Genomic DNA, 19,965 nt, shown 5'->3' on the forward strand with positions numbered 1-19,965 from the left:
ACACCATTTGGAATGGTGCAGTTGTATGTTTTATTTATGGATTTGCTTTCTATTTCTTCTAAAATAAAATCAGAAATAAAAATGGAGATAATTTTTTATTAAAATAGGGAAATTTCTATTTCCTGGAATCAGATTTTAATGCATTATTGTAAAGTTTACATGAACTTGCATTTTATACCAACAATTCCACAGGCTTTCAAACTTTTGACTGTAAAGCATAAAAATTCATTCTTATATTGTGACGTATTACACATGAATATGTTTGTGTGTGCATAACTGAAACAAAATTTTATCAAAGACAATGTGATGCTTTCTGTGTTTTCTATTTCTGTTTTTTAAAAATTTCTGTTTCTTTTTTGCTAATTGCTGATAGCAATTTAGTGTTTTGAATTTGTTACTTATGTGTCATGTCCCACAGCCTAGAGTAAGCAGAAATGCTGGTCAATCCCAGTATTTTATATATAAGCTCTTAAACTATATTTCCTATTTTTAACTGATTCTCCTACCATCTGAAGGTAGAGTTGGTTAGTCTTATTGGATATTGATTTTCCCTATAGGACTATCCAAATTTTTTTTTGTTATTTCAGGTGGCTTTTTGTTTTTATAATGTGTAGTTTTCTCTTTCATGTCACTTTTAGGGTTAATGTTTTATAGTGAAATTTTTGTGTCCATCTCTTAAAATATAGTTTTAGTAATCATTTTGTATGTTTTAACTAAAACTTGAACACTTAACAGTGCTAATGGGCTTAATAAATACAGAAGTCTTTCTGTTCCTTTAGGTGCTTACAGCAAAGGAGAAGAAGACACAGTTGGATGATAGGACAAAAATCACTGAGCTTTTTGCCGTGGCCCTTCCTCAGTTATTAGCAAAAGTAAGTTTGTGTCAATATCATAGTGTTACTAAGAAATGAGTTTTTTTTCCCTAAATGCCTCACAGAATATTATAATGCTTTCTTATTGTGATATTTTTAACGTGATCTTTATATTTCACAGTACTCTGTAGATGCAGAAAAGGTGACTAACTTGTTGCAGTTGCCTCAGTACTTTGATTTGGAAATATATACCACTGGACGATTAGAAAAGGTAAGATTATTTTGTGTAAAAAAAACCTTTAAGAAAAATTATTCAGTTCATTATATCATAGCGTTTGTTTATATTTCTTAAAATGTTTTTTTGGAACGTATTTTAAGAAAGGAAACCTATAGCTTAGGTCTTCTGTACTTTAGTTTGACTTACAGAATGGCGGTAATGATGCTTCCCTTTGCTTCATGCCCACAACTGTACCTTCATTCTTAGCTATTATATGACTATGTCACTGATCATTTATAGAGACTGGGGGTGGATAACTAGATAATAACAATTAGATGAGATTGGGCTCATTCAGGGTGGTATGGCCATAGACGATAATAACAATTATAAGACAAAATCAACTAATATTTATTGAACACTTTTGCTATGTTCTGTGGATTAATGTAAGCTCTTAGTATATGTTAGCATTCTCACCATAGCCCTATGAGGTAGGTAATATCTCCCTTAAAGTTGAGGAAAAAGTATGGATGGATCAGTGTATTTATTTATCATGATTAGAAAAGCACCTTAAAATGTACGCTCTGTGTTGTAGACTTACTGTATTTGAAAATTTTTTCCATGGTGGTATGGTCATGTAGTCACTTTATACCTATCATATATGCCTTAGTTTTGATGAAAAATATTATTATTTTGCAGCATTTGGATGCCTTATTGCGACAGATCCGGAATATTGTAGAGAAGCACACAGATACAGATGTTTTGGAAGCATGTTCTAAAACTTACCATGCACTCTGTAATGAAGAGTTCACAATCTTCAACAGAGTAGATATTTCAAGAAGTCAACTGATAGATGAATTGGCAGATAAATTTAACCGGCTTCTTGAAGATTTTCTGCAAGAGGTATATATTATAACTATTACAAGTATTTTGTCAGTTGAGCCCCTCTACTGCAGTAAGCTAATTAGTCACCCAAGTGTTAAGTCTTGGTGATAGTCCCTAGCAGTATTTTGAAAAGATGTTCAGGCTTTTCATTCTATGACTCATCAGGCTACTCCTCCACCAAAATAGGAAAGTGGTAAGAATCTGTGACTCAGAGAAGGTGAAAGCAAAACTAACATCTTTTTTGTTTTGAGAAATGATCTGAACAGTTACCTGGTTTTTATTGAACCAGGGCTGTTAAGGAATAGGGTGTTAATGGAACAGAAAAGGAGAGCTAGATTTAGACTAGGTAGCCTAAAAAAAGTAGAGTATTTCTAAGTGTTTTGGCAGTGTAGGTTAGGGAAGGACATTATGTTTTTTTTTTTTTTTTGGAGACGGAGTCTTTCTCTGTTGCCCAGGCTGGAGCGCAGTGGTACGATCTCGGCTCACTGCAGCTTCTGCCTCCCAGGTTCAAGCGATTCTCCGGCCTCAGTCTTCTGAGTAGCTGGGACTATAGGCGTGTGCCACTGTACCAGGCTAATTTTTGTATTTTTAGTAGAGATGGGGTTTCACCACATTGGCCAGGCTGGTCTCGAATTCCTGACCTCAGGTGATCCACTCACCTCGGCCTTGCAAAGTGCTGGGATTACAGGCGTGAGCCACACATCCAGTCTGGGTTTTGATATTATAAAACTTTAATAAGTTATTATTATTATAGCCGCTGCTACTGTTGGAGTTTCCTGTGTTTTCTCTTGTATTTCCAAAGAGGCTTAGTGCATAGTACTTAAATACACTTGTATTTTTGTTGTGATTGTTATTTTTTCCAGAAATATATATTTACATTCAGTTTTTTTGATTAAAATAAAAATTCATAATTGTCAAATTAATGCCATTAGCCTTTTCCACATCACTTTTATCATTAATGCTGTAAGATCATATGGACTTTGTGATTTCTAGTTTTCTTGTTTTATTAATTACTCATTTAACTTTTATTTGGTGTATATTGTTATTCCGGGCTTATTAAGTTTTACTAATTGGAGGTTTGTGCAAATATGTTGATGTACGATGATTACATTCTTAGTTAAAAATTTTAATAGCTCTACTCTTGGCTGAATATAATTTTGATTAGGACAAATTAAAATCAAGCAATGGTTTAATTAAATTTAATTACTTTGTAGAAGAGTTATAGTTTAAAAACAAGTGCTTTTTTGAGAGAACTAGAGTTCAACACAGTAGATTGAGTAATGTGTAAGCAATTTTATGTTTCCTGTAGTAAGACTGGTAAAATTTTTCGAAAGTTAAGTTACCCTAAGTTGAAAAGTATATTAATAGATGTTGATATCCAAATGGGACCAGCATATCTAGTCATTTTTCAGAGGGTTTTTCCCTGTTTATCTGTGATTAGTGTCATATGTCTTCATGATGATATATGTTTAAGGTACTTAGATTTTGTCCTTTAGGTATTGTCCTTCTGATCTTCTTGTCATTTAAGTATTTTATTGTCCTAGTGCATTTATTACTGTGAAAAAATAGATGCCTTTATAATTTTGTGTCAAGTTTACTTAGAAGAAAAAGAAGAATGTCATTTTCGTTTTTTCTCTCAGTTGTGATGTTTCTATGATAAACTTGTGTTGACTTACTTCCCCAGCCATATTGCCTTAAATTTGGCCAGATCTAGGTATTGAATGACAAAGTTCATTTGTGGGTTTTGTTATGTTATTTTTCATTTTTCAAGGTAATAGTGACATTTTGATAGCCTAGGAGTTTTCACTTTGATGGTTCTTAATGTATAATTAATATTTATAGGGTGAAGAACCTGATGAAGATGATGCATATCAGGTATTGTCAACATTGAAGAGGATCACTGCTTTTCATAAGTAAGTTGAATTTTGAAGTTCCTGTTTTCTTAAATCTGTAGAAATAAACTTGCATGTTTTGTGGGTTATGTTAATTTCTAAGCTAATTTGTTGTTGTCGTTGTGGGGGCATTTTAAAGTTTACTGCATTTACTGCATTCTGTTAACAGTCAAGTCCAAAACAATTGTCATTAGGCTTAGCTTTTTAATAAAACTTAATTTTTTTTTTTTTTTTTTTTTTTTTTTACAGTGCCCATGACCTTTCAAAGTGGGATTTATTTGCTTGTAATTACAAACTCTTGAAAACTGGAATCGAAAATGGAGACATGCCTGAGCAGGTTTTTATTTATTTGCTAGTTACACATTTATCTTTGAAAAGTGAAGTCTTGTGACTTTTAAATTTTAACTGTATCCTTTGATTCTTTTTACAGATTGTTATTCACGCACTGCAGTGTACTCACTATGTAATCCTTTGGCAACTTGCTAAGATAACTGAAAGCAGCTCTACAAAGGTTTGTGGTGGTTCAGTAGTGTTTTTATTAGACTAAATATCATTAACTGTTTTCAGCAAACTCACACATTTAATGAGATCAGTTATTTCAGTGAAATGTTGCTTGTTTCTAATGTACTGTTATTTGTAGTTTGATGTATATTCAGTGGAGAGGATATCGATATGGTTTGTTTCAAGGTATGATTTTTAATTAAAAATTGTTGTTCACATTTGAAGGTGGCATAATCTGTGGTTTTCTGTATTCTCAAAGTTGGTGAGCAAGAGCCTTTGAAACAGATATAAGTATTAGATTACATAAATTGAAGATAATAAACCAACTCCCCCTAGATCTTCTTATGCTCTGGTATTGTTTTGGGATAACCTTATTCATATTCAAGATCTCTCTAGTGATGTTCCAAATTCATGATCAATCATTTTCTGATTGAATATATAATGTGCCAGCGCCAGCTATTAGTACATATAGAGCTTTTAAAGCTTTACCCATAATGATAATCCTTAATGTGTTTAGTAATTGAACTAAACAGGACTGCCTTTTCCATTTGTAAACTGGAAGCTTAAACATTGTACTTGTAGTGCTGGATATTACCTTAAATATTGTTTGGGCTCATTTTTAGAAATATCACACAGTTTCTAAGAGTTCTGGAGTTAGGTGTTTGTAGGCATTTTCTTCAAAAAGTAATCCTCTTGATAATAAGTTTGTGTTGCCTAAACCCACAGAATAATGTTAAATACTTAGAATTTCTCTGGGCTTTTAAGATGTTGTTATATCTACAAATGGATTTTTCCTCTTGAAAAATCAATATAGTATTGTTAACATTGTGTGCTTCCCGCCCCCCCACCCCCACCACCTTCTGAGGCAGTCTTGCTCTGTCATCCAGGCGGGAGTGTAGTGGTACAATCTCGGCTCACTGCAACCTCTGACTTGCGGGTTCAAGCAATCCTCGTGCCTCAGCCTCCTAAGTAGCTGAAACTGCAGTCATGCATCTCCACGCCCACTAACTTTTGCATTTTTAGTAGACATGGAGTTTCACCATGTTGACCAGGCTTGTGAACTCCTGGCCTCAACTGATCCGCGCATTTTGGCCTTCCAAAGTGCTGGGATTACAAGCCTGAGCCACTGTGCCCTGCCCATTGTGTGCTTTTTATCAAACACTTAGGAAAAAGTTAATTTAACTAAATGTTAAGCTTGTAGTAGGAACGGTGACTATATTACCATGTATAATTGCTCACCTATGTTGGAAGTTAAAAACTAAACTGGAAAAAAGGCAGTATTTTTAGTAGAGGAAAGGGATGAATATAAAATTATTTATGGTAAGCCAGGCACAGTGGCTCACGCCTGTACTCCCAATGCTTTGGGAGGCTGAGGAAGGCCACTCACTTGAAGTCAGGAGTTCGAGACCAGCCTGGCCAACATGGTGAAACCTTGTCTCTATTAAAAATACAAAAATTAGCCAGGTGTGATGGTATGCACCTGTAATCTCAGCTACTCAGGATGCTGAGGCAGGAGAATTAATTGCCTGAACCCAGGAGGTAGAAGTTGCAGTGAGCTGAGATCATGTCACTGCACTTCAGCCTGGGCAATAGAGTGAGCTCCATCTCAAAAAAAAAAAACCCAATAAAAATAAAAAGTTTGAGATATTTTAAAGTTTATAGTAATACCACAAAATATTTTCCATTCTGAGTTTTTATAAAATACAGCAGTATCCTTCCAACAAGAAATGGAAGATGCTGTTTCTTTTTTATTATTTTATTCCATTTATGGGTTGACCACCCTTGAAATAATGTGAGCATGGAGCGTAAATCTTTATTAGCATTCTGTGCTAGTGGCTTTATTAAAGATTGCCATATCAATTATATAAGTCTTCTCATCCTCTTAATATCCTAAAGCCTTAGGATATTATCTATTAATGTACCTCATATTTTTAAGGCTGCAATTTGGTGAGATTTGTAAGACAAACCGTCTCTTTGTTTTCATTTCTTATAAATTATAAGGAAGAAATTTAAATCAAATGCAGAAGTAGAGTTAATAAAGCTATGAGATAATGTTTTACATAATTGAAAACATTTTAAAGAAATGCTGAATTGTTTATACAATATTTTTTAAAAGTTAATGTTAAATTTTTTCAAGGAGGACTTGCTGCGTTTAAAGAAACAAATGAGAGTATTTTGTCAGATATGTCAACATTACCTGACCAACGTGAATACTACTGTTAAGGAACAGGTTAGTAATTACTATAGATGGTAATCTTTTTGTAAGCAACCTTTATAAAATCTGAACTAATGTAGAAAGTTTAAATAATACTAAGATTGAGCAAAGCAGAAATATCTTGTATCTGCCTATGTATATTATACTAAAAAAATAGGTTAATATATTGGATTTGTGCATAATAAAATTGATTAATTTCATATGGGGTTTATAATTGCATTATAGATTACCCTTATTGTCATTTTATGTTGTTGTTTCTTTATGACACATGGTAAACAGACTTCATACAAATTATAGATGTATGAAATTAACAAAAGTCATTCCTGAAAGCAACTAATATGACAAGTTTGTTCCAGGGTAGAAAAGTCCACAGGGTTTTGTTATCTCTGAGAGTATCAGATGTTGGCATTCTCGCTCATCCTGATCTTCCTGTGGACCTTCTCTGAAATAAACATTTATAATCACTTCCCTGTCTTCCAAGTGTTACCTTCCCAACGCGTATGCCTTCATGCTTCCATTACTTCTAACCTTTTCAGTTCTCGAAATAGACTGTTACCTGGTTTGATCCTAGAACTAACATCATGTTCAATTCTAATTCCCTAATTGAGAGGATTAAGCTTCGTTGGAAACGTGCTTTTCAAATGCTTTTATGGGAAGATGTTTTCACAAGCATTCCATAAGAACTATTAATATGGTATAGTCAAAATGATTATGGTGATTTCAAGGTTTGCAACCATTTCATACAGCTTAACCTTTGTTTTTTCAGGTAGAATCCCAATAGTCAACCTGACTATGATTTTTGGACACTGTGATATGTTAGGTACTATTTATTTTAGTTCAGTGTTATTCAAATATAACCAGCCCTTTGTTTGGCACTTGTCTTTATTTAATTTAAAAATACCGAAGCTAATTTTAATAAAACATATTTGGATTTTTATAGTTTAAAATGTTCATTCAATGCCCAGCTGGTAGTCTCTTTTTTTCTTATTTCCAGCTCTCTCTTGTCCCTACCATACATATATGCTTGGTCACACATGCCAAGATGCAGTTACTGAATTTTGCTATTTTTTTCCAAAAATATGAAGTATATTGCCATAACTATTGCATTGCAGAATTCTCTCCAATTTTACGTGTGTAGTTTTGAACTATAGCAATAAAGGGTGTGGTACTTTAATTTTCATCTCTATAATTCAGATGAAAGGAACAAGATTTCTGATGGTAGTAAATTGAATTTAGATTTAAACTCTTGGAATAGGATTTTAATGACATGCACAGATCGAAACCTAATGCACGAAATATTACTTTATAATTGCATGGGACACCAAGATATTCAGCATAATAATCCCTATTTTTATAGCATTAACACATAATCCTTGTGGGTTATCCTGTGTAACCTCCTATATAATCCCTTGCTCAGGCCATAGAGATTAATTATTTAGTTATTAAACAGCTTATGTGCCCAGTCTTCCCAACAGCTTCCCAGAATGTGTCCTGGTCAGCTCACTTGATTTGCCAGTTCAGCTAATTAGTAAATATCATCATACTTAATACTTTATATCCTTACTCTTTATGTTGCAAGTTTTTGTAGACTGAAATATGCTAATAGGTATAAATTACTACTATAGTAGTTAGGAGAAGAGACTGAAGGAAGGGGTAAAAACATAAAGAGAAAAAGTAAATGTGGTTAGTTCCAAAGTGGCAAAACTCTTAATAAGATCTGCTTTGTGCTCTGTATTATATTGTCTTTCCAGGAATGATCTTCCTTTAAATGTATTTTCTGGTTTACTTTGTGACCCTAAATTTCTATTTTCATTACCCCTTCCCAACAAATAATTAATTAGTCTGTGACTCCATTTAAAACCCATGGCAGAGTTTTTATTAAGCTCCTTGAGATACAACTTCAGCCTTATGTTTATTATAATATGTTCAGGTTTACCTGATAAATAGTAAGCAGCCCTGTATCTGGTTATGTTTTCGCTACTTAATCAGTACACGTGTGAACAATGAGAGTGCTTAATAAGTACCATAGATTTTGTGATCTCTATTCTAATACTTATCTCTTTAATGTTTTTTCTTCTGTAGAGTGAAGAGTGGTACCAAGTTTATACATTATTTCATATTTGAGAATGAATACCTTGGGGCATTGCAATATAGAGCAAAGTAGGGGATTTGGAGTTAGAAAACATGAGTTTGAGTCCTGACCCTGCATATTTTTGTAGTGTGTAACATATTGTACAAGTCACTTAATGTTGCTGAAAATTAAAAAAAATTTGTGAAATTACTTTGCAGTTAGTAAAGCCTTATACAAATATAAGCATTCGTTGTTACATAAATTATACTTCGCAGCTTTAGAATCTTAGGAAAATACTAAACATTGATTTCTCTTAAGATTTTTAAATATAGAAAGTTGGATTCTGTTTCTGTGTTAAATATGTAAATTATTTGTGGCAGTTAGTGAGAAACCTTGGATTATAGCATGCTTTCCTCTTTTTTTTTTTTTTAAATAGGCCTTCACTATTCTGTGTGATATTTTGATGATCTTCAGCCATCAGATTATGTCAGGAGGGCGTGACATGTTAGAGCCATTAGTGTATACCCCTGATTCTTCATTGCAGTCTGAGTTGCTCAGCTTTATTTTGGATCATGTCTTCATTGAACAGGATGATGATAATAATAGTGCAGGTAATTTTATTGCCATCTTTTTATTAAATCTGTGTCCACCATAAAATCAAACTTAAGTAACAATGATGTACATCGGTGCACTAAAATATATTTTATCCTTAAAAACGTGAAACACAGGTATATATTCCAGCACAATTTATGTTCATTTTTTTGTACTATTGTAAAGAAAACGTGATGTTGCAGAGTATAGGCTTTCAAGTCAGATCGCTGCTTCTCACTAGCACTGAGTCTGCTTTCTAATTTCTAACTACCTCATAAAACTGTTAAAAATTGAGTCAAATGACTAGTACAGTGCCTGGACATATAGCAGGTACTCAATAAAATTTATTCCCTCTTGCCCTTATTCATTGGTAATACCAATATGCAGATAATTTGGAAAGAATAAAGTATTTATGTGACTTTTTGTTGTGTACTTGTATACCGTAGGTTTTTTTTGTTTTTTAATTTGGGGAGTATTAATTTGATTTCTGAATGTTAGAAAAATGTTTGAAACTGCTCTGTAAAAGTCTGGGGCAGTATATAATGTTTACAGGAAAAGAATCAAACCAGCCTTTCCTAGTGTTAAGTTACTCTTCACACCCTAATTGTTTACACACCCTAATTGCCTTACTTTAGCATGAGGTTATGGAAAAGAAGTGATATTTGGCGGCATCTTTCTGGGTTTGTTTTTAGTTTGAAGGTATATTTTTTGTTTATTTTTATTTTTTAGAAACAGAGTCTCACTCTGTTGCCCAGCCTGGAGTACAGTAGCATGATATTAGCTCACTGCACCCTCAAACTCTGACCAAAGCAGTCCTCCCCCTTTAGCCTCCTGAGTAGCTAGGACTACAGGTGGTGTGCCACCGTGCTTGGCTAATTTTTTGTAGACATGGGGTCTTGATATGTTGCCCAGGCTGGTCTTGAATTCCTGGTCTCAAGTGATCTTCTTGCCTCGGCCTCCCAAACTGTGAAGTTAAAACTTAAAGGAAAATACAACATCAACATGTATATATCCATACTGATGTATCACTGCATATCAGGGTGTAAGTATATATGTAATTCTGTATATGGCATGTAGCTTACTTTTAGCAATAGAGAGCTTTGTGCTCATGTACTAAAAACTTAACCTCAACACAAATGAGAAACCCAGAGTAGCCAAAACAGTTGTCAGAATCCATGTAGTGAAGTTTATATACTTTGAGTTTTTCATCTGTCACTCTAAGCTATTGGCTTAGTTATGCTTTTGTTCATAACATTGATTTGACAAACATTTATTGGTCAGCAGGCAGTTTACTAGATGGTATGGATATGAAAAGATGAGACAAGGTCTCATCCTTCAAGAATTAAATTCAGGATGAAAAGAACCAAGTAATTATAGTGTTGTTGTTGTTGTTTGTTTGTTTGTTTGTTTGTTTTGAGATGGAGTCTCACTCTGCTATCCAGGGTGGAGTGCAGTGGCACAATCTTGGCTCACTGCAACCTCTGCCTCCCGGGTTCAAATGGTTTTCCTGCCTTAGCCTCCTGAGTAGCTGGGATTATAGGTGCCCACCACCACGCCCAGCTAATTTTTCTTTTTTTTTTCTTTCTTTCTTTCTTTCTTTCTTTTTTTTTTTTTTTTTTTTAGTAGAGACGGGGTTTCACCATGTTGGCCAGGCTGGTCTTGAACTCTTGACCTCAGGTCATCTGCCTGCCTGGGCCTCCCAAAGTACTGGGATTACAGGCATGAGCCACTGCGCCCGGCCTATAGTGCAATTTTTGATAAGTAATGGAGGCATGTACAAAGTGTTGTGGGCATGTAGAGTAAGTTCTCACTGATCTGCAGGTATTGAAACATCTTTTGAGAAGCTAACAACTGAAGTTAATCCAAAAAATGAATAGGACTTTATAAAACGTCTTTTTTTAAAACTTCTAAAACGTCTATGAGAAAGTACAGTTGGATTCTAAAACCTGATACAAAATAAGTTTTAGTACATAACCGTTTTGTTAATTTGGGGCTGCCTTAGCTTCATTTAGTCCATGGGGAGTTGAATTAGAGTAAGCTTGCCAAAACTCTTGATTTATCTAGGAGCTTCCTAGAATTACCCACACTTCTTATCTCCTTAGACTTGTGTGTGTGTATGTGTGTGTTTGTGTGTGACAGGGTCTCACTGTGTCACCCAGGCTGGAGTGAAGTGGTGTGGACTTCATATAGCTCATTGCAGCCTAAATCTCCCAGGTACAAATGATTCTCCCACCTCAGTCTCTGGAGTAGCTGGGACTCAAGCGTGTGCCACTCTGCCTGGCTAATTTATTTAATTTTTAGTAGAGACGAGGTCTCGCTGTGTAGCCCAGCGTGGTTTCAAACTCCTGGGCTCAAGCAGTCCTCTCATCTTGGCTTCTCAAGGTGCTGGGATTACAGATGTGAGCCACTACACCTGGCACTATTTTCACTTTTAAAATGAAGTGCATTCTAGTCCAATGGAAGAGTATAAAATATAACAGATTTTTACATAACCATTCCATCAGTCTTTGTCAAATTTAGCTGTGTTTGTTTTAGGTTTTTTAAAGAAATAAAAGCACAGTTACAAAAGAAGCCCTCATTTGTATTCCTCCCTTATCCCATTATCCTCCCATTTTCCCTAGAGATAACTGCTACCCCAAATTTGTTGTTTATCACACCTTTGCATTTCAATTTTATTTTACTAAGAATTTGTATCTGTTAATAATACATAGTTCATTTATTCTTGCTAACTTCCATGTAAATGATATTAGGTTGAACATTTTGCAATTTACCTTTTTTCTTCTTTTTAAAATATGAAATGAGATCTTGCTATATTGCTCAGGCTGGCCTCAACCTCCTGGGCTCAAACAGTACTCTTGCCTCAGCCTCCTCAGTATCCGGGATTATAGGCACATGCCACTGCACCCAGTGCAGTTTTCCTTTTTGAATTTACATTCTTGAGATTTTTTTCAGTGTTGACATGTGGCTACAATTCATTTATTCTAACTGCTGAATATTATATGATACAAGTTAACTACAGTTTATCCATTTTCTTATTTTTAGACATTTAGGTTATTTCTACTTTTTCCTCAATTAAAATAGCGTTACAACAAATATTTCAATGCTTAGCTCCTTGAGCACATATACATTTGCTTTTCTAGTGTATACCTGAGTGGAATTGCTAGATTATGTAGTGTGTGTGCATCTTAAACTTGATCATATTTTGCTAAAGTGGTTGTATTGTTTTACCCTCCTTCCAGCAGCATATGATAGTTTCCATTGTTACTCATCCTCACCTAACATCTAGTATTGTAGACCCTTGGATATTGTATTTGTTAGCCTACATCAGATTAGAAAGGGAGAGTAAAATAGGGAATGCTCCTAGAGGCATTTCATTGACAATACATAATAATAATGGCAGCTGACACTTATGAAAGGCCCAGTGTGTTAGGTACTTCTCTACATTCCTTAACATCCACAAGAGAAAAAGTTGGCTAATTCTTGACAAGCCATTAGTGGAGAAAAATAAAAATCAGGACTTAAAAACTCTGAATATCATAGGATAGTTTAGTCTTTAGAGGGAAAATGTCTGTATGCGATTGGAAACAATGTCATGTAGAAATTGTCCATTATAGTGACAGAGCTATTAAGAAAATGTTACTTTATGTATTCAGTGTAATGATATGTCTTAGGTTTCTAAGCAAATAGTGTTGCATCTTGGGACATACATTTGAGATAAAACTTTCTCTGATGGTCTATCTTAAATTCTTACTCTTTAAATTTGGTTTTAGTTTACTAGAAGTTATCAAAGATTACCAGAGACAGGATGAAAAATTAATTAAATGAAGGAACATTCTTACTATACATAAAATAGTTTTTGATATTGGGAACCTTATATTGGAGCTTATAGGATATGCGCAGACTGTTCACCAGAGGAATTATAAATGGCTAATAAACATAAACAATTTTAATTTCATTTAACAAGGGATAGTGGTTTGTTTGTTTGTTTAGATGGAGTTTCACTCTTGTTGCCCAGTCTGGAGTGCAGTGGCGTGATCTTGGCTCACTGCAACCTCCACCTCCCGGGTTCAAGCAATTCTCCTGCCTCAGCCTCCCAACTAGGTGGGAGTATAGGCGCGTGCTACCACACCCAGCTGATTTTTGTATTTTTAGTAGAGATGGGGTTTCACCATGTTGGCCAAGCTGGTCTCAAACTCCTGACCTCAGATGATCCGCCTGCTTTGGCCTCCCAAAGTGCTGGGATTATAGGTGTGAGCCACCACACCCGGCCTGGGATAGTGGTTTTTGTTTTGTTTTTTTACAAGTAATTTCATTTGTAAAATCTGTCCAGAGGGAAAAATTTTTGTATGCAGCTTTTTTTTTTAATATAAAAAGCTTCATCTAGTTTTATTTACAGTATCCAATAAGTAAAACAATTATTTTGCATTACTTGGAGGCTGCAGTGGGGCTTCCCTGACTGCGAATTTGGAAATAAGTTTGTCTTCTTGAGAATTGAATGTCAAGATTTCACATAATGGATCAGAGTAGAAATATGCAAGATTATTTTAAAAAGACAGAATGGTTTCTGGGGCCTGTCTAGCTGAATATATGTACAAAGGAGGACTGTTATAGCCAGATTTTGGGGTTTGAGGTAAGGTGGGATCATCCTTGGAAGGGATAGGAGAAATTCTGAGGTTGGCAGTGTTCAGGAACGTAGGAGCCTTAACTAACAGACTTTGAGTGTGCAGATTTTGTTGACAAACTATCCTGCTAGGGAAGTAGACAAATGTTAGGCAAGTTTAGCCTGACTTCAGTAGGTGAACATGGAATACGAACAAATGGAGTGATTCAGTTCCATTTGTTCTGATCATCATTTGATGTCACAAAAATTTAGTCTATTGGAATAAATTATGAATGGTTATAATTTTAATTTTAATGTTTTTCCCTTTTCAAATTCTCTTATAAAAGCATGTTTCATAGTGAGAATTAAAAAAAATACATGGTTGAAATAAAATACAAGATGCTTAATGTTTGGGACTTTTTCTCCAGATGGTCAGCAAGAGGATGAAGCCAGTAAAATTGAAGCTCTGCACAAGAGAAGAAATTTACTTGCAGCATTTTGTAAGCTAATTGTATATACTGTGGTGGAGATGAATACAGCTGCAGATATCTTCAAACAGTATATGAAGGTAAAGTTGAAAAATGGATAGCAAGATAGTTTTAAAATGCAACGCTAGTTTTTATGCATGGCTGCCATTGAATTCTTTAAGGGCAAATTACATTTCTAGTGTAAAAGAGTTGTATTTTAAAATATTTAGTGTTTTCAATACATTTCCTTATACCTCTACTCCAGTTAATGGACATTTTGGGTTTATTGTGTTCGTTTGCATTTAGAATATTGGAGATGGCCCCTCTCAATTTGTCACTATCAGAAATAGCATGTATGATTCAGTTTAAGATAATAGGATGGCATTCCTCCTCTGCTTGATGTAGCATTAAAAAGAGTTTCAGGAGTCAGAAGACTTGGGTGGTAGTTTTGGCTTGGTTACTATGCATCTTGCGACCTTGAATAACTCCAAGCATTTTGTGACCTGAGTTCCTTTATCTGTTCCACTGTGATTGTTAAGGTTTTCCCCTTTGGTTCTCAAAGTCTGATTTGATTAACCATAGGTTATTCATAATTTTCATAACTATATGTGAGGTTTTGTTAAGTTGAAAGTAGTGATAAACAGGATATTGTTGATTATACTAACAGAATGTGACTAAATGTGGTAAGATAGCTTAAAAATCCTTCCTCAACTAAAATCTAATTATAAATGTAAACTTTTTAAAGCCTTTGCTTTCAAGAAATAAAATATGTAATATATTTAAACCTAGTTAATCCTCTCTGGAATATTTTGCTACTTGAACTCTAATATCATTGAAAATTATTTTGGAACTTAAATCATTTGGGATGATAATTACCAGGTTTTTTTTTTTTTAAACTAAGGTTGTTTATGAAGTTATTTAACAAATTTTAAAGTTTTAGTCTTAGGTATTCTAAAGTCACTTACTAGTCATAGGGACGTGGTTATTCTGTTATCTCTGATAATTGTTATTGTACGTGTTTGAAACACAATCTTAAATTAGGAAAAAATTTCATGTGCAATGTGTAATGTAAATGTCATATAAACAACTTTTAAAAGTTGTTTATATGCTTTCCTTTTAAAAGTTGTTTATAGGCTGTTAGATTCTATAAGCCAAATTAATAAAGTTTTAAACTGCTCGTGGCCTGTATACCCGGTATCAATGAATTAGTTATAAGTGTAACTGAGATTATATTTATTGTTTTACAAAGAGAATTTTGTTTGTACATTTTGTGTTACTTCTGAAAATCTGCATAACCTAATTGTTGTTTTGACTAAAACTGACCAGTATACCGTCTTTATTTTAACCAAGTCTGGAGCTTAATTTGATTAGATCTTAACTGTTTTGTATATATGATTTTACTGAAGTTAGGGATTGTATGCTTAGAAATGATCTTTAGGTTTCAGTAACATTCTTTCCTGCCTTTGAAGGCATAATTTTGGCTAAATACATACTTTGTGACGTGTTTACATGACTAACCTAAAATTTGTCTTATTGTCAAGTAGTTTTAAGAGATAAAGCTCTAATTTGTACAAATTTCTTTATAGTATTATAATGACTATGGAGATATCATCAAAGAAACAATGAGTAAAACAAGGCAGATAGACAAAATTCAGTGTGCTAAGACCCTTATTCTCAGTCTGCAACAGGTAAGCATTAAGAGTACCAACTTTAGCTAACACAATTAACACCTAATAGTTAGCAAAATAAGGTAGCAGTTGAAATTGGGCAAAGTGTGCAATAGGCAATTTATAAAAGTAGAAATACAAGAAAGTATAAGTGAGATTATTTTTTTGCTTTCAAACTGTCAAGATTGGCAAAACCTATAGCTATCTAAGGTATGGAGGAAATATAGATATGGTAGGCAATTTGGCAATTTATGTAAAAATTTATAATGTGTATGCCATTTGAGGCAGCAATTCTACTTTTTAAATCTACTCTTTTATCCAAGGTGATAAGACAAGTTTGCAAAAGTTGATATACAAAGTTGTATATTGCAATGTTGTTTATAGGAAGTAAGACATAATCTAAAAGTCTATTAGGATATTAGATAAATTTACTGTATAGTACATTTCTGCGATGACCGTTGTACAACACTTAAAATTAGTGTAGATCTATATTCATTAATGTATAAAGAGCTTCATAATCACAAAATATATTAACAGTGGTTAACTTGTTTTGGTAGATTTCATGTTGAATTCTACTTTTTTCTCTGTATATTTCCAAACTTATTTTTGTGAGCATATATTAATTTTATAACTAAAACACAATAGTTTTGGCCAGGCACAGTGGCTCATTCCTGTAATCCCAGTGCTTTGGGAGGCTGAGGTGGGTGGATCACCTGAGATCAGGAATTCGAGACCAGCCTGGCCAACATGGTGAAACCCCGTCTCTACTAAAAATACAAAAATTAGCTGGGCATGATGATGTGAGCCTATAATCCCAGCCACTTGGGAGGCTGAGGCACGAGAATTGCTTGAACCTCGTAGGTGGAGGTTGCAATGAGCCAAGATCATGCCACTGCACTCCAGCCTGGGCGACAGAGTGAGACTCTGTCTCAAAACAAACAAACAAAAAAACCAATAGTTTTCATTTTGGCAGTGTTGAGGCATTTAATTAGATAAAATTACTGACTTAGTATACTTTTGTCTTTGGAGACAAAATTTGCATGCAAAACCCAACCCAACCCATTCCAACTTAATGAACTTTCTTTTAGGAATGTCCTTTTTTTTTTTTCCTTTTCTTTTGAGACGGAGTCTCGCCCTGTCGCCCAGGCTGGAGTGCAGTGGCGTGATCTTGGCTCACTGCAGGCTCCACCTCCCAGGTTCACGCCATTCTCCTGCCTCAGCCTCCCAAGTAGCTGGGACTACAGGCACCCGCCACCACACCCGGCTAATTTTTTTGTATTTTTAGTAGAGACGGGGTTTCACCGTGTTAGCTAGGATGGTCTCAATCTCCTGACCTCGTGATCCACCTGCCTCGGCCTCCCAAAGTGCTGGGATTACAGGCGTGAGCCACCGTACCCAGCCAGGAATGTTCTTAATTTTATTTGAGAATTTGAATTTTCTCTATTAAAATTAATAAAATGTAGGCTGGGTGTAGTGGCTGATGCCTGTAATCCCAGCACTTTGGGAGGCCAAGGTTGAGAATTGCTTGAGCCCAGGAGTTGGAGGCCAGCCTGGGCAACATAGCAAGAGCCCATCTCTACAGAAAATGAAGAAAGAAAAATAAATAAAATTTAAAAGGTTGAAAAGATGGCATTTAAAAAATAACTTTTGCTATAAAGTAATAGCTGCTAGCTGTACTGTTTAGAAAATATAAAAAGGAACAAATGCAAATTATCCTTAATGTTTTCACTTCACAATAACCTTTTTGTTTTTTGATGGCCTTGTTACTCTTTTTTATGCGTACATGAAATCTGATTTTTTAACAAAATTAAATTGTGCATTCCATTTTGTAAGGCTGCATTTTAATATTAATAAACACTGAACACATTTATGCCATTAAATAATTTCCTCAGCATCTTTTTTTTTTTTGGAGCAGGAGAGGTTCATTTATTTTTTTTTCTAGATTTTTGTGAAGGTATAATTGAAAAGTAAGAATTCTGTGTACTTAACGGTATACAGCATGATGTTTTGATAGGTATGCATTGTGAAATGATTAAATTTAGCTAATTAACATAAACATTACATCACATACTTACTTGTGGTAAGAACATTTAAGACCAACTGTTCTAGCAGTTTTTAGATAAACAGTACAGTACATTACTCTTAACTATGGTCACCATGCTGTACAATAGATCTTCAGAACTTACTTATCCTGTCCTACTGAAACGTTGTTCCCTTTGACCAAAGTCTCAGCCTCCCCCAACCCCCAGTCCCTGGCAACCACCATTCTGTTCTCTGCTTCTATGAGTGCAGATATTTCCTCAACATGTGGATTTCATTTTCTCTGGGTGTATACCCAGAAGTCTTCCTCCTTTTAAAAAGTTGACACACGACCGGGCGCGGTGGCTCACATCTGTAATCCAAGCACTTTGGGAGACTGAGGCGGGCAGATCACGAGGTCAGGAGTTCGAAAGCAGCCTGGCCAATATGGTGAAACCCCATCTCTACTACAAATACAAAAATTAGCTGGGCTTGGTGGCACACACCTTTAATCGCAGCTACTCGGGAGGCTGAGGCAGGAGAATGGCGTGAACCCGGGAGGTGGAGGTTGCAGTGAGCCAAGATCATGCCACTGCACTCCAGCCTGGGTGATAGAACGAGACTCTGTCTCCAAAAAAAAAAAGTTGACACATAATTGTACATATTTATGGGGTGTACATAGTGATGTTTTGACACAGTGTATAGTTAACCAAAGCAGGATGATTAGCATATCCATTTTGACGACTATATAATATTCCATTTTATAGATAGACCACAATTTAACCAAAGTCTCCTTGTTTACGCTGAGGTTTTTTTACAAGTTTTGTTATTACAAATAGCACTAAAACTTTTTTGTACATATTATTGTGCATAAATATTATTTCTTTTGGTTCAAGTCCTATAATTAGAATTGCTTTGTCAAAGAAGATTAAAATTCTTAAGCTTTTGCTATTTCATGTTAAGAGTTCTTGATGTAAAGATTCACCACTTAAACGTAAATAACAGAGCATGGTTGCCTAATAATTTGCTGGGGTTTTTTTTCCCCTTTATATTTTTATATGCTATGTTAATATCCAATTAATACCAGCAGGATAGCATTCTGCCAAAACTAACCTGAAGGGTTTCTAATGTTAATAAAAACCTCCAGTTTAAATATACGAAGTACTGCACTTTTGGTCATTTGCATCATGTTTTAGTGTTTTGCAATAAAATACAGTGCCTCATTTATTGAACACCTGTATTTTAAATGAAAATGTAATATTTTAAAAGATGTTAATCTCCAGGTATTAAGAACTTTAACATGCTTTCTTTCTTTCCAAACAGCTTTTTAATGAAATGATACAAGAAAATGGCTATAATTTTGATAGATCATCCTCTACATTTAGTGGCATAAAAGAACTTGCTCGACGTTTTGCTTTAACTTTTGGACTTGATCAGTTGAAAACAAGAGAAGCCATTGCCATGCTACACAAGTAATCTCCAGATATTTTATTCAGCTCTCATATTTTTTAGTCATGAAACTTTATTTTTAAATCTAGCCCTTTCATTTGGAATAACTAAATTAAATTTATGCTTTATTATTAGCTTATAAATCTCTACCCTATCTCCTTTCTTAATTTTAAAGAACCAGTTACAGTGCTATCTCAATTAACAAATGAGTTGGGCCAGGCTTGGTGCTCATGCCTGTAATCCCAGCACTTTGGGAGGCTGAGGCAGGAGGATCACTTGAGGCCAGTAGTTTGAGAACAGCCTGGCCAACATGGTGAAACCCGTCTCTACTAAAAATAGAAAAATTAGCTGGGAGTGGGGGTGTGCACCTCTAGTCCCAGCAACTCAGGTATGAGAATGGCTCGAACCTTGGAGGCAGAGGGTGCAGTGAGCTGAGATTGCGCCACTGCACTCCAGCCTGGGGGACAGAGCGAGGCTCTGTCTCAACAACAACAACAATAAAATGAGTTAGGATTAAAACTCCGTTTATAAGCCTTTGTTTAAATTTAAACCATACAAAGTCTATAAATTATGTGAATCAAA

The 19,965-nt window shown here is 34.8% G+C and overlaps 1 protein-coding gene across 35 annotated transcripts in view; it reads left to right on the forward strand.

Moving 5' to 3' along the window:
* The window catches only part of STAG2 (STAG2 cohesin complex component), a 142,097-nt gene that overhangs the window by 101,563 nt on the left and 20,569 nt on the right, over positions 1 to 19,965 (forward strand). For all 35 annotated transcript variants that reach the window (NM_001042749.2, XM_047441783.1, NM_001441077.1 and 32 more), the window contains 11 exons: positions 780 to 872; positions 994 to 1,083; positions 1,726 to 1,929; positions 3,754 to 3,824; positions 4,053 to 4,140; positions 4,234 to 4,314; positions 6,442 to 6,534; positions 9,027 to 9,201; positions 14,210 to 14,349; positions 15,835 to 15,936; positions 19,258 to 19,406. In NM_001042749.2, the coding sequence (NP_001036214.1) occupies positions 780 to 872; positions 994 to 1,083; positions 1,726 to 1,929; positions 3,754 to 3,824; positions 4,053 to 4,140; positions 4,234 to 4,314; positions 6,442 to 6,534; positions 9,027 to 9,201; positions 14,210 to 14,349; positions 15,835 to 15,936; positions 19,258 to 19,406 (1,286 nt within the window). The remainder of the gene's footprint in view (positions 1 to 779; positions 873 to 993; positions 1,084 to 1,725; positions 1,930 to 3,753; positions 3,825 to 4,052; positions 4,141 to 4,233; positions 4,315 to 6,441; positions 6,535 to 9,026; positions 9,202 to 14,209; positions 14,350 to 15,834; positions 15,937 to 19,257; positions 19,407 to 19,965) is intronic.

The sequence above is a fragment of the Homo sapiens genome, chromosome X (genome assembly GCF_000001405.40).
Source record: "Homo sapiens chromosome X, GRCh38.p14 Primary Assembly".
NCBI classification, from domain to species: domain Eukaryota; kingdom Metazoa; phylum Chordata; class Mammalia; order Primates; family Hominidae; genus Homo; species Homo sapiens.